The sequence below is a fragment of the Homo sapiens genome, chromosome 13 (assembly GCF_000001405.40).
Source record: "Homo sapiens chromosome 13, GRCh38.p14 Primary Assembly".
Lineage (NCBI taxonomy): Eukaryota > Metazoa > Chordata > Mammalia > Primates > Hominidae > Homo > Homo sapiens.
In genome coordinates, this window is record NC_000013.11 from 51,583,397 (window position 1) to 51,597,603 (window position 14,207).

At 40.9% G+C, this 14,207-nt stretch overlaps 1 protein-coding gene and 2 pseudogenes across 6 annotated transcripts in view, besides 3 other annotated features; 1 reads left to right on the top strand and 2 right to left on the bottom strand.

Annotated features, from left to right (window-relative positions):
* Positions 318-838: an enhancer, noted in NCBI's record as "OCT4-H3K27ac hESC enhancer chr13:52157850-52158370 (GRCh37/hg19 assembly coordinates)". NCBI's record gives its function as "activates a minimal SCP1, AML or CMV promoter by ChIP-STARR-seq in primed H9 embryonic stem cells {active_cell/tissue: H9 hESC(primed)}" and the evidence as "EXISTENCE:reporter gene assay evidence [ECO:0000049][PMID:30033119]".
* Positions 497-776: an enhancer, noted in NCBI's record as "active region_7775". NCBI's record gives its function as "activates an Ori minimal core promoter by ATAC-STARR-seq in GM12878 lymphoblastoid cells {active_cell/tissue: GM12878}" and the evidence as "EXISTENCE:reporter gene assay evidence [ECO:0000049][PMID:35858748]".
* Positions 917-1,286: a silencer, noted in NCBI's record as "silent region_5375". NCBI's record gives its function as "represses an Ori minimal core promoter by ATAC-STARR-seq in GM12878 lymphoblastoid cells {active_cell/tissue: GM12878}" and the evidence as "EXISTENCE:reporter gene assay evidence [ECO:0000049][PMID:35858748]".
* The window catches only part of WDFY2 (WD repeat and FYVE domain containing 2), a 183,248-nt gene continuing 170,106 nt past the window's right edge, over positions 1,066-14,207 (top strand). For all 6 annotated transcript variants that reach the window (XR_007063659.1, XR_941483.2, NM_052950.4 and 3 more), the window contains exon 1: positions 1,066-1,428. Coding sequence is in view for 3 of the 6 variants with exons in the window: in NM_052950.4 (NP_443182.1) it covers positions 1,292-1,428 (137 nt within the window). In the remaining 3 variants the exon portion in view is untranslated. The remainder of the gene's footprint in view (positions 1,429-14,207) is intronic.
* Positions 3,028-3,136, bottom strand: RNY1P6 (RNY1 pseudogene 6; annotated as a pseudogene).
* RN7SL413P (RNA, 7SL, cytoplasmic 413, pseudogene) lies at positions 10,523-10,819 on the bottom strand (annotated as a pseudogene).

Genomic DNA, 14,207 nt, shown 5'->3' on the forward strand with positions numbered 1-14,207 from the left:
CAGTAACTCTGTCCGTTGTGTCTGGAGCAAGCTAAAAAGGCTGGATTGCTGGGGAAATGGAAAGAAGCCAGCACTAGGGGCCTGGGTTCAAGTCTGGAGGGAAGGAGGGGTTGTTTAGCCCTAACTTTGCACTAAAGTAACCTTGGCTGTGTAATTTAGCCATCTAAGAAAACGAGGGGATAGACACCCCATATGTTCTCTGAGCTCCCTTGAAGATGTCTGTATGAAAGATTCTCTCCTTTTCATGTCCCTTCCGTGCCACTATTCCGAGCATCAGTCTGACCCTAGGAGTGGTGACGTCCTACTCAGCTGGGGGCTGCCCCTCAGTTCCCATAGAGGCAAGTCTGGGTCCTGACTTGGCCAATGGCCCTGGAGGCCGCTGAGCTCCTCAGGCCCATAGCGCAGAAAGTGGGCGATAGGTCATTCCAGGACAAGGGGGCGGAGGCTCCAAGAAACTACGACTCCCAGGAGGCCACTGGGTTCCCTCCGGCAGCCTGGGCCTGGTGCATGTTGGGAGCAGTAAGCGGCCTCCCGCCGCGCTTCATTGTTAAGACCGCTAGGCCAGGTAGCCCGCGCGCATGCCAAGTCACGTCCCAACGAGTTGGGCGGCTTTCCTTCCTGCAGGCCTCTTCTCTTTCCGGTCTTGCTGAGGCGCTCCTTTCCCCGCCCCACCTCCGCCCTCTTTTCAGGGAATTTCGAAGGGGCGTGGCGTCTGGCAAGCGCGTCCCCAGGGGTGTGTATACGCGCGTTCACGGGAGGTTAAAGAGGGAGGAGCCTAACCCTTGGGTGTGTAAGGCAGAGAGAAGACCGCGAGGAACGGAAAGCGCATGCGTCCTAGTGGTGCTGCAGCGCCCGGGGAGTCGCGGAGGGGAGGGGTGAAAATGGGCTTGCGGGACTGACGCACGCGCATTGGGATACCAGATCCCCGCCTCCTGCTCCAGGTTTCCCCTCCTCCTTCACCACCCTCCCGGAAGTGGAGCCGCCCTCGCGCCCACCAGCGGCTACCCCCTGCGGCAGGCCCCGCCCACACAGGCTCCGCCCCCCGGCGCTCCGCCCCCTCCTCTTGTAGTGGCGCCGGCTTGCATCCCAGGTCGTGGCGGTTTTGGTGCCTGAAGCAGGGAGCGCGGAGTCGTTCCCGAGAGAGGCGGCCAGGCTATGCTCGCCGGTTTCCGGCGTTCCGCTCCGGCCAGCCAGAGTCTCTGTCTCAACCTGTGTCCGTGCTCCAGCAGTCTCCTCAGCCCGGCCCCGCGGCGCGGTTGGCGGCGGCGCCCCAGGCGCGCCCCCTCCTCCGATGGCGGCGGAGATCCAGCCCAAGCCTCTGACCCGCAAGCCGATCCTGCTGCAGCGGATGGAGGGGTCCCAGGAGGTGGTGAATATGGCCGTGATCGTGCCCAAAGAGGAGGGCGTCATCAGCGTCTCCGAGGACAGGTATGGACTACTGCCATTCGGCCGCGAGGAGGGGCGGGACGGGCCGACGGCCCTCGAGCCCGCGTCAGGGGCTGTGCCTTCACGTCGGCGCGAGTGTAGACTTGCTCCCCCAAGTTTTATTGTAATGCGCATCCTGGTGGTGCCGGTGTTCAGCTGCGCGCCGCCTCCGCTGTGTGGCTCCGGGAAGCGGAGCCGGGACGGCGGCGAGCGCTCCGGCTTCACCCCGGGCTGGGTAGTGCCTGCGGGAGCCGGGTGGCCCTCGGGCTAACGGTGCGCTGGAGGGACTTTGGTCCATCCCTGAGGACAGGAGGGAAAGAGGGGAGGAGCCGCCCGGCTTTGCAGGTGTGTGCTTGGGGAACGATGCCCTGAGCCGCCTCTGCAAGATAACCAAGGGGTTTGGGGTACTCTCGTACAGCTCCCAGGGTTTCAAACGGAGAAAGCAAATGCCACTCCTTCTTCCCAGACATTCCTACTGAATCCAGATAACCCAGACATCTTAGGCTGAATTCAGTGAATATTCTAAGTTGTACCAAGAGTAAGTTTAGGCTTCTGCGTGGTGCCTTCTTTCCTTTCCCCTCCTTATCTCTTGGAGCTCGAGGAGAAGCGCGTAGAACTTGTAACGGATCACTGCTGCAAATAGCTCTTGAGTTCCTTCCCTTTGCCTGTTTCCTTTATTTTTGCTTAATTTTGCTTAATATGCAGAAGTGGAACTAGTTGTTCTGCCTTCAAATACTCTCTCTGTTTTGCGTTTTCGCTTTAACTGAATTTCCTTGAATATGCAGGAATAAAGCTGATGAAGCTAATTTCTAGAGTAATGTTGCTTGAAGATAGTATTATGATAATTTATCTGAAATTGTTTCTTTGGTAAAATCTATATAAGCATTCTTACAAAAGAACACTGTAGAGGTACATAACACGGGGATTTTACAGTAAGTAGGTTTTCTTAATATAAGTTCAAATCATGCAGAGGTAAAGTATCCTTTCTTGGTGACTCAAAATTGAGAGGCTGAGCAACAAAGTGCTCATTGCTGTCTTTATAGTCATTTCCGCACTTAGCATAGTGTGTGGCCTCAACAATTGAGCTCGATAGGTTTGTTCATGTCTTAGGTTCTTCAGTATAACTAGGATGAGTATATTAATGACATGTTCTTGTCTACATCATGCTCAATACAAATGGCGCCTGATTAATTTCCTGTGCAGATCCAATGGAAAACATTGTAAACATACACCAGTGGCAAGCATTCTGCAATGAACAGAAGAAATTCATGGCTGAAATGGAGTACATGGATGTAGGACCCTTTTGAAATTCACAGAGAAGCCTTATGAGAAAGTTTGATTTTTTCCATAAAGGCAAAATTTTATTAAAAAGACTGCTTCTGGACCTAGAAATTCTTTGGCACAGTATTGTTTTTATGGGATATATTCCATAAAATATATTGAAGGAATATATTGGTAGATGTCACTTTCCCAGTCTGTAACTACTGGAGATGGAACTGATCAATTTCTAACTGCTGTGGAAAATTCATAAGCAAATTCATGGAATCAAGAAAAGGAGAAGGGTAGTTAAACCTAAGCTGCTTTAATATTTTATTTATTTTTTTAAGACTAGTTAAGTACGGTAGTGAGAAGGGGAAGAGAGTAGAACAAGGAGTTCAATCTGTAACTGACTGTGAACAATTGAGATAATAAAACTACCTTCAGACCATCCTAAGCTCCTTTAATATTAAGGTGTTATTATAGTATTGAAACTTCTGATTCCCATTTCACCACATTTACCTTGAAGGAAACAGCTTTACTGGGGTATATTTTCAAGTGTTTGGAGACGCTGAAGTAGTGTATATTAATGAAACTGAAGAATAAATTTCATTTGATTATAGGATGAAAGAAATGCAATGTTCAGCTATGTCTTAGCCTAATTTTCACTTTCCTAGTGTACAATGTAAATAATAGAAATTATTTTGTCATGGAGTTACTGTTAAATAAGGTTCACCCATAAGTCTGGAATTATTATTAATATACTTTTTTTCAAGTTGACAAGTCTGTGCTTCTTTGGGTCATATACTCAAACATGAACATAACTTTGTTATTTAGAGCTCAGTTTTGGTTATGGTTTTCATTAAAATAATTGATCTATATTCTTGCTTTCCAAAATTCAATGTTAATGTCACTTGGTACAATGCTAAATATATGAAAATGTAATATTGATTTTCATCACAACCTACAAAGCCATTACCATTCACTGCTTTAGCTAGAAACTAGTAATCTTCATTCCTGAACTCTGAGGTTAAAGCCGCAAGTAATGTTCCATACCTGAATGGCAGTGTTCCATAAATTCTTAATGAAACCCTGGTTTATCTTTTTGACCTTTGACTTCTTCATTGCCTTTATGTGTGCCTTTGAAAACACTTAACATTTTCCATTTTAAACGGTGTTATACAGTATATACTTCATGTCCATTTTATTTTCTCTTCTGTGAGTTCCCTATGGAGCTTTGTGTGTCTTATTCATTGTATCATCATTAGGGCCTAACATGGTACCTGGCATGCAATACGTCCTCAATACACGTTTGTTGTATCAGTGACTGATCTGTTTTTTTGCTGTTCCTGAAAGCACAGCATCTTAACTACTGTAGACTTTTAGTTGATATTTGTTGAGTGAATTATATGATGACCTATGAAAGGCTTATGTGGACAAGTATACACTTGTAGGAAAAGTACTGGACTAGGTGGACTTTAAAGTACTTCAAAACTCTGAAAGTCCATGAATTGCTTCATTTATTCCGTCAACAAACATTTGAGTACTTACTGTGTTCCAGTCACATGCATACATGGTAATGATGAAAATGATAAGGTCCTTTCAAGATGCTCACAATTTAGTGCAGGAATTTTAGAAGAATATTGCTTAATAAAAACAAAACTACTACTTCCAAGATTTAGTATTGGAAAGAGAATTTCAGATGAAGAATGGCAGGATTCCACAATCTGTATTATCCCCTAAATTTTACCTCCCGTTGGAGGATTCTTTGACTCAAACTGCCCTCAATAATGGCCTGATAATACTCAAATCTTCAAGCCCAAGAGTGGATAAAAATTCTTGCCTTCAGGTTCCTTTTAGCAGAGTTCAAACAGCCTTGAACTTTACTCAGTATTAATGGAGGAAATATAAAGGAATAGAAGAAATGTAAAAACAATCTGATTTACAAATAAAGATTTCTGGTGCTACCATAATACAGAGCCTGTTTCAGGAACTCCCCACCCTTGTCTGATTCTGTCTTTGCTTTAGTTGTAGTTAGATTATATACCCAAAGGGCATACCAAACTTTGATATTTTGGATACCTCATTTCCCAGCTTCTTTTTGGACTGTCTTTTCTGAGTGAATGCCATTTTAGCATTCCCTGCCTAGGAGCTTCCTTTCAGACATCTCTGCTCTGTTTTGGTCAAGACTTATGTTTAGTCAGCAGCTTAGCAGGGGCTCCTTTGTTTAGTGGCAGCCTCTTCAAGTGATGAAAGCCAGGAGGGACCTCTCTCCAGGTGGGACCAGTCCCATGCAGACCTTTGTATCTTCATAAGTTCTTTATAAGCATATCAACACAAGTCAGTAATCTTAGCATTCATACAGAGACTTTCAGTAACTTGATAGTTTCGTTTAGGCAATTATAGGAAATCATTCCCTTCCTAGGAGTTAACAACAGGTACAAACATTGTCCTCTGGGGTTGCCAATGAACCTCCTGCTTGTGGTGGTTAGAGAAGACCAACAATCTCTTCTACAGATGGGTCTTGCAGGGTGAGTAGGAGTTCTTGTGAAAAAGCCTTTCCTGTAGAGGAAAGGGCATTTTAGATAGAGGAGGCAAGAAAACTCCCATTCATTAAGAAGCACTAGAATGTCCTGATTAAGGGTGGACAACGGAGCCAATTGGCTTGAGTTCAGAACTCAGCACTCAGTGTCCTCACATTTTGAGGAATCTGGAAATTAGTGTCTGCAGGAGGAGTGACTCTGATAGCAAAAATTACTGAACCCTTTGGTTGAAAGATTTCAGGGTTCTTTTTCTGGATAAAAAGGCCTGTGTTGGTGGTAAGGTGTAGAGAAGGAGGCTGTAGGAGAGATAACTATAGAGAAGAAAGTTACTGGGGAGGGCGATATGGGGAACTGCCTTTCTATATTCTGACTTTATTCAGGACCAATTTATACAACATAGGCCCTGCTGTGTTCTCTCTAAGTCCTGAGGGCAGAGCACAAGCAATTGTTAAGAGAGGGGTGAGATTTTTAATCCCAAAATAAGGAGATCTGATCCCCAATGCCTAGCACAAAGGAGATATGCATTATATGTTCCTTGAATGAATTAAGCAATGACTGGTGATCACCTTTTTGAATTGAAATGGACCTGAGGATTTTGTGAGTTTCTGTCAGCAAAGGTATTTAAGTTGAGCCTGAGAGAAGTTTAGCAGCTTGCTTTAGGCCAGGGTAATCAACAATACAATATGGGATGGGAGTGGGAAGGGGCTGGGATGAGGGGGTTGGATTTTTTTTCTGCTTCGAGGGCCTTTTTTTCCTGACTCTAAATTACTATGATTCGAAGTGGCCATGACTACTTGACTGTTTCCTGAAAAAAATATGTTAAAATTTTATTTCATCTTATGAATCCTCATAGTATTGGTTCATTTACCATTAATTCTTTTTATTATGAAATTACACTATCCCAGTTCTCTGCTTCAACCATTAGTTTGATAATTAGACCTTGGTGCAGTTCAGTTGAGCTCCTGATAGAGTTTTATGTACCATGTATTTTATAACATTTGCACAATTTTCTTAAGAAATGCAAATCAAAGTTTTATAGTGCCAAGCACAGTTCTGAAAGTTGAGGACTTTTCAGAGTGAGGGAGTGAGCGCTCTGAAGTCAGCAAAATTAGAACCCATCTAAACTAATTTTTCAGTGTGTGAAGTCTCTAATAGCATAAAATTAATACACTTTCCACTGCGCACTTGAGACTCATCACTTGGTGGTAATAATTGTGGATTTCAAGGTCCCAAAGAGGGAACTTGTCCTGTATGATTGTGGAAAATTAGACCTTTACTCCGAATTCAAAACATGAAGCACTCTTCATGCTAGCAAATCTTTCTGGGAACAGGCTGCCTCTGTGTTTCCAAAGGTCAGAAATAGACTGACTTTTTAAGGAAAGATCACTATGGGAAAGCTTATTTGAGGAGGCTTACTAGAGGAGGATTAGCTTCAAGTGATCCCAGAGCTCCTGACAGTTCTGAATTTCCTGTTTTTATATTATTAAACCAGAGTCTGTCCAGGACCTCACAGATCTTAATCAGTATATATTCATCCACATATTGCAATGCTATGGGAAAGTTAGGATGGCAATTCTGACACTCTTAAAATGAGTAATTTTTAAATCTTGAAATCCTGACCAGCTGTCTTACACCTCAAGTGCTGCTAAACTTACTTTGAAAAAGGAATATAGGTAAAAATCATAGGATTTAAGTAGCTAGAATAAACTTTAGAGAGATGGCCTTTTCCAAACAAACAAAACCAAAACTTTAGAAAAGGAAATGTGAGTTTTTACTTGCACAGCATCTTTCTCTGGCTGTCTGTTTTCACTTTGCATTTGGCTTTGAGAAAGCATGGAGAATCATCTTGATGTCATTAGAAATAACAGTGTGGGGAAAATTAAAACACTTTGTGGCATTTAGAAATCAATAAGTAGATTGTGATTTAAGACTACTGCAGGTGGTGATTTGTTGATATCTGTAACACTAAACTAAATTGTGTACAGTATATACTTAGAAGAGACTGACCACCATACCAAGCTTTTCTTCTCAACTATTGGCAGAATAGAAAGAATTTAAAAAGAGATCACACTCCTTTATTTTTATATGAGTAGGTCTCCCAAGGAGAGTGTTACAATTAACCTAGAAATTCCCTAACAGAGAAAAAAAAAACAAAAAAAACTCCCCTTGTGCAACTTCAGCAAGCAGTCTTCTCTTTAAAAAAATTTTTTGTATTTCGGGGCAGGGAGCCTCTTCATCCAAATATTTTATTTAGTCCTTAGTAAAAATTAATTCAGAAGTATGAGAAACTAACCAGTAAGACCAAAAAAGAAAAGGTCATCTCCTTGTCTCTTGGCAGGGAGTGCTACTTTATGGTCTCCTGTGCCTTTAATTTAAGGATTCTTGGAAAAGAACTGGGAGTCTGATCTCAGCTCTACTCTGCATTGACCTTGGCATTTCCTGGGGCATTTCATCACTCTAAGCTTCAGTTTGTCCATCTGGCAAAGGAGGGGGTTAGATTTCCTAGCTATGACTCTTGTACTGTGATGTGCTTCTGTAGTGACTAGATAAGTAGTCTCTGCAACCATATCATCCTAAAATCTCAAGTGGAGGAAAGCACGCATTAGGGAAAAAGCAGCATGCTTGTGTGAAACTGTCAGCACCTCATGTTGCAACTGTAAAACGATGCTTTCTAGAGCCTTTGGATGGCAGCGGTTATTTATTCCTGGATGAAATATTAAGAAGTATTTGTTTTGTGTTAGTGCCTAACACCCAGTTGAACTAGATTCACTACATTCCTACTTCTAGATGAGTCCTTTACTTTCAAACTCTGGGTGGTTTGCCAGCAACCAAGTCAGGGCCTGGGTTATCTAGATTAATGCTTTGGAAACTTTTTAGACCATAAATCATAGTAAAAAATATAGTTAGCATTGCTACGCAAGACTGACATACTCTCTCACACATAGACACACATATGACAGAAACAAAGGTTTTATGAAATGGTATCCTCTTAATGTGACATGCACACTATTTTCTGTTCTGTTGCAGCCCTTATAAGATCCTAGTTGTGACCGTTTCAATTAATTTCATGACCCACTAAAGGATTGTGAACAAGAGTTTGAAATATTACAGAGCTTTAGAAGAACTGGTAATGTTTTGTACCTTCTTTTTCTCCCGTTATGTAGTTTCAGTTTTCTAGAAGATGGAAATGTAATTCAACTTGGGGACCTAAACCCTGCCAGCCTACCCCACCCCTGGCCTGGCCTGCTTTTCTGAAATTCCCATTGACATTATAGAATTGACCCAGTCTGACTGGAAGCCTTCAAGTTAGGAGATAACTGTTCTAAAGCCTTTCAGCCCAGAGCCAGAGAGGGTTCAGAAAAAAAGTAGGAATGTTGGGGGGAGGGGGGAGGGATAGCATTAGGAGATATACCTAATGTTAAATGAAGAGTTAATGGGTGTAGCACACCAACATGGCACATGTATACATATGTAACAAACCTGCATGTTGGGCACATGTACCCTAAAACTTAAAGTGTAATAAAAAGAAAAAAAAAAAGAAAAAAATTAGGAATGTACCAAATTGAGCATTTGCTATTGTTTGAGTGGCTGCATTTTAACTTCCTGTCCTATGTTAATTTATTACTGAGTTAGGACTCAGAAATGATGCATCACATCTAAATTATGAATGTTGCCAGGTGGGGTGGCTCACGCCTGTAATCCCAGCACTTTGGGGGGTTGAGGCGGGTGGATCACCTGAGGTCAGGAGTTTGAGACCAGCCTGGCCAACATGTTGAAACCCTGTCTCTACTAAAAATACAAAAATTAGCTGGGTGTGTTGGTGGGCACCTGTAATCCCAGCTACCCGGGAGACTAAGGCAGGAGAATCGCTTGAACCCAGGAGGCGGAAGTTGCAGTGAGCCGAGATTGTACCACTGCACTCCAGCCTGGGCAACAGAGCGAGACTCCATCTCAAAAAAAAAAAAGACAAAAATAAATAAAATAAAATTAAAATAAATAAGTAATGAATGTCAGTTGTTGACCTCTCTGTGTGACTATGCTTTTCTTTTAGCTGGGCAGATTTACTTATAACACAGAGCTATTTAGAGATTTTATGTATTTTCCATTGGTTATTAAATTATTATCTCTTTTCCGATTTCTAAGGATCAACTTAAATTTTAAATAATCATCATAATAATCGCTCTGGAGTATGTTTACATTTTAAATAAAGATAATATAGGCCAGGCGTGGTGATTCACACCTATAATCTCAGCACTTTGGGAGGCTGAGGTGGGAGGACTAGCTTGAGGCCAGGAGTTCAAGACCAGCTGAGCAAGATAGCAAGATCCTGTCTCTACAGCGAATAAATAAATAAAAGATAATAACCACAATAAAGAATTACTGCTCATAGATCCCTTAGCACAGTGACTGTTAGTATTTCATATATTTCCTTCTAGTAGTTTCTCTAATGCAGTTTTCAAAAATATGATTGTAATCATACACTTTTATGTTCTTGCCCTCACTTAAACTTTTGCCAGCACCTACCTAGATTTTAACCATCATTTTAAGTGGCCTTATATTTTTGCTTTCCTTCTGTATTCACTCATATTTATTTAATGATTATACTGTATATACTTGGCCTCTGATCTCCCATCATGAACAAGGCATATCCTACTCTCAGGGTACTGGTGATCTAGTCAGTACATCATAATTTATCTTCTCCCTATTGTTTATTTACATTATTTTCAGTTTTATAAATGTTATGATGAACATTTATAAATTGTTATACATATAGGTGTCCCCTTCTATCCCCCACCCTGAGTTTTTTGATTATTTCTTTAGGAAAGATTGTAAGAAGATTGCCATATTATTTTCCAAAAGGTTTATGCCACTTTAAAATGCTTATAGTTATGTATGCATATGAGAATGTTAGTTTTGCCATACCTGACCAGCCATGGATATTATTATTTTAAAATTCTTTTTCATAATTTGCTTGATAAATGGTGGTACTTTATTGATGTTTAATTTGTATGTTTTTGGCTGACTGGTGAATATTTTTCTGTTCGTTTATTTCTAGTTATTTTTCCTTTTGTGAATTGTCTGTTTCTGTCCTTTGTCCATTTCTCCATTGAAGTCTCTTGGTTCTTCTTAACAATTTCTTTTACATATATTCTATAGATATATTAAGAATATTAACCCCAGGCCTGTTATATATCCAGATATATCTTACATTTTGTTGTTTGCCTTTTCATTTTTTGTATAGAAAACATTTACTTTTAAGTTTAGCTGTCAAAATTTATTTTAAAAATTTTAAAATGAGAGACAGGGTCTCACCACGTTGTTCTGGCTGCAGTGCAGTGGCCATTCAGAGGCACATTCCCACTACTGATCAGCAAGGGAGTTTTGACATGCTCTGTTTCCGACTTGGGCCAGTTTACCCCTTCTTAGGCAACCTGGTGGTCCCCAGCTCACATGAGGTCACTATATTGGTGTCTAACTTAGTGTGGACACCTAATTAGCATAGCACACTATAGCCCAGAACTTCTGGGCTCAAGTGAACCTCCTGCCTCAGGTTACTGAATAACTGGGACTACAGGTGTGTGCCACCACACACCTTTTTTTAATAATTGAAATTTCTTCCATCACTCCTAATTTTTGAAAGTAACGCTTTTCCTAGGGAGCCACTGATACTCATTTTTCTTTCATCTTAGTTATATAATTTGATGAAAAAATAACTTTTTGATTGGTTTGAAGTGTATTTCATTAGGTGGCATAATTTGGGAAGTATAAATGGATTTTCCTAAAACTTGCTGTTAATTATTTCTACATTACTTATTGAGTGGTCCTTATATTTTCTTTTGTATTTATTTGTGAAACGACTTTTATCACAAATTTCAGTTCTCATAATCAGCAGGGCCTGCTGTGGCCTCTGTTGTGTCTTAGGGAATCTCTTTGCCTCTTTTAGCACCAGTTCTACACTTTTAATTATTGTAGCTAATGAGTTTTTCTTGATTGCTTGCCACTATGTGTCTGCAATGATAGCCCTAATCTCTCTGTCCAGGTCATCTGGCTAATGGGAAAGGAATCAGATATTGGCTCTTTCCAAAGCCTTAGGATTTTACAGTCTCAGTTTCCGTGTCTGCAAATTGGGAGTAATGACTCGTCCTAGTGTTGTTGGGAGGTTTACATGAGATGATCTTCCTGCAGCACCTGCAGCACCTGCAGCACTTGGAGCATAGTTGGTGCTCAGTGAAAGTTTGTTTTATTTTTTGTTTATAACACCAGCACACCTCTAAGCAGGTAAGCTTTTTCTGTTGCCATGGTTCCATTAAGACTATTTTAAGACTCACTTTGGATGTACAGAGTTTGGTCTGTTGAACTTTTTTTTGTTTTTGTAGAGTTCTGAGCCCCTTTTTTCTTCTCTATTATAGAAGGGCGAGGTTAACTCTGTCATCTTTATACCACCACTTTCCAAATTTGCCCTGTGACAGCCAGTGGTAAGGAGAGGTGTGTAGTGGGTGGGTGCTGTGTTCTCCTTTGCAGGCTTCTATCTCTCTCTTCATTTGCTATCTTGCCCTGAAATGGTATGTCCCTTGTCCCCACTGGTCTCCTGGACAGCAGGGGCTGTGTCTTCCATGGCTTCCATAAGGAATACACTTAGGGAAGGATAAAAGTTTAACTAAATTGTTCTTAACCGGAAGCTTAGGCATTATAAACTGGCAACTAGCAGACTGAAGTCCACCGTTGGACAGATTTTGAGTGGTCCACACACAGTGTTTTTAGAAGTTTTGAATTTGTCGGCAAGGTTTAAACATATGGACTTCACATAAACACCCAGATTGCCAGCTTCTCTTGACACATGGGAAGACGGAGCTGTGCCAAGCCATGAAATTATCGCCTGCAGACCCCTTGCTCCTGCTCTGCCTGTTGGGGCTAAGGTCCTCTGAGCTGGCCATGAGAGGTGAAGATATGCTGCCATGGCTGCCTGCTGGTGGGAAAGCAGCACACGAGACCCAGAAAGCCTTCCTCTAAAATCTGAAATGCTTCCCCTTTTTTGGACTAAGTAGTTAGAGCTTTGATATTTAGAAGAAGAAAAAGAAAAAAGAAATCAAAAGATAGCCAGAAAGCTCATGTTTCTAAAAACTTAGATGTGGGCCAAGGGAGGAAGCATATAGGTAAAAAATCAAGACACCTTTTATAACAGATGCTGATGTACCCAGTAAATATATAAATAAAGGTGGGTATTGGTAAATTAAGGACGGCATTTACCCTTCCTGATTCCCTCTCTGGAGGCATTTTTTTGGGGGCCAGGGACTGGAGTCAGAGAAGCCTGGATTTGACTCTTTGCTCTGCCACTTCATATTTAAATACATTTAAATTCTAGTTTTAGAAAAGCTTAGATTACATTGTTGCTTTTTATTTTGTGCATCTGGATTAATATTCCTGGAGTCAGTTTACATGCCTTGCTGTTAGAATCTCAGTAACCTGTTTTAGTGTTCGTTGGGGGAGAAGGAGTGTTGGAATGGCTAATTCATTTCATTATATTTCGATTTGGGGGATATTTTTGAATTTATATTTGAATAATTAATTCTCTTTACATGTCAGAGCTTAGATTGTTAAACAGTTTTGAAAGATGAGTAATTTTTATCTAGAAAATAAAATTAAATTAAGGAGGTTAATCTGCATGCATAGTTAGCTGAATTGGCATGCTGTTTGAATGGATTAAATTGGTTTGGAGTTTGGTTGCAGTGTGACTTTTCTGACTTATTTTTCTTATTGAGCTTCCATTTGGGAAATTTCTGTCACATCAGATATGCAAAATATAAATCTTTGAGTTCGATGTGGATAGGATAGGGCAAAGTTTGAGAAAGTAAAGTTCACCGAATCCTAAAAGGTTCTGTCAACCTTAAATAATGAGATTCAGAAAATATGATTTAAATACAGTTTGAGTGCAAAGCTTGAGGATGATCACCTGGAAACACTGACTCCAAGTGAATGGGCTCAGTGTTCCAAAGTGAAGTTAAGGTTTCACTTACATGGGTAGAGACAGAGAAGTTCCAGCAAGATTGCATTGTTCATATAAGACCAGAACATACACCACAACGATTTGATTGGTTACAGATTGCTACATTCCAGGGAAGATTCCTTACTCCATGAGAAGGGACAAGGATCTGAGGGGGTCTTATCTCTGGTGCTGCTTGGCCTTTTAATTATTTACAGGAAAAAAGGCAGAAGTTGCAGCTGTACACCACGTGACTTGGGCTGTGTAGCCATATTCCTCTCAAGGCTCAGAATAAGTTAAAATTCCAATAGCTTTAAGTTGGAATTATTTTAAGTTTGAACAATTTAATTTCACAGTTCAGTGTAGTATACGGAGAAGAAGCGGTCCAGAAAAGTTCTCTTGAGGCTCTGGGGGCATGTGTGGGCTTGTCTACAGGTAGATTATATTTCTCCAGTGTGTGGTCCTCCTCCCACCTCACTTTAATTTTTTGTTTTCTTTTTAAAAATGTTCTACTTTACTCTTTAATAATTTCTCATTATTGAATTAGTGGAAGTATAGATCATTGTCAGAATTGAACCCAGAAGAACTGTATACTATATACCAAGTTGTTGCTTTATTGATAAGTGAACAAACGGTTGAGTTCTTGAGATTACTGTGTTGAGATTTCCAGTGCTCATAGGCACTTTTCTAAGGGTCTTTGGCTATAATTGAAGTTCTTATATTTTGGTCATAAGAACTTCATTGATGTCCTTACCATTATATAATTACTGGGAAACTACATTCTTAAGCCTGAAGGACTGAACTTGAACTTGAAAACTTTTGAAGCAATGAACTGTTTTCACATTGCACAAGTAAGTTTGTCCTTTGAGGGATGCTGCTATAGTCACTATTTTCAGGACCCGACATTGCTTATTTCTGCTTTTTCAAAACTTTTGCTTAAAAAGTTTATCTGTCTGTTGCTTTTGTTGCCTAGTAGTTCATGCTTATGTATGTGGAAAAGT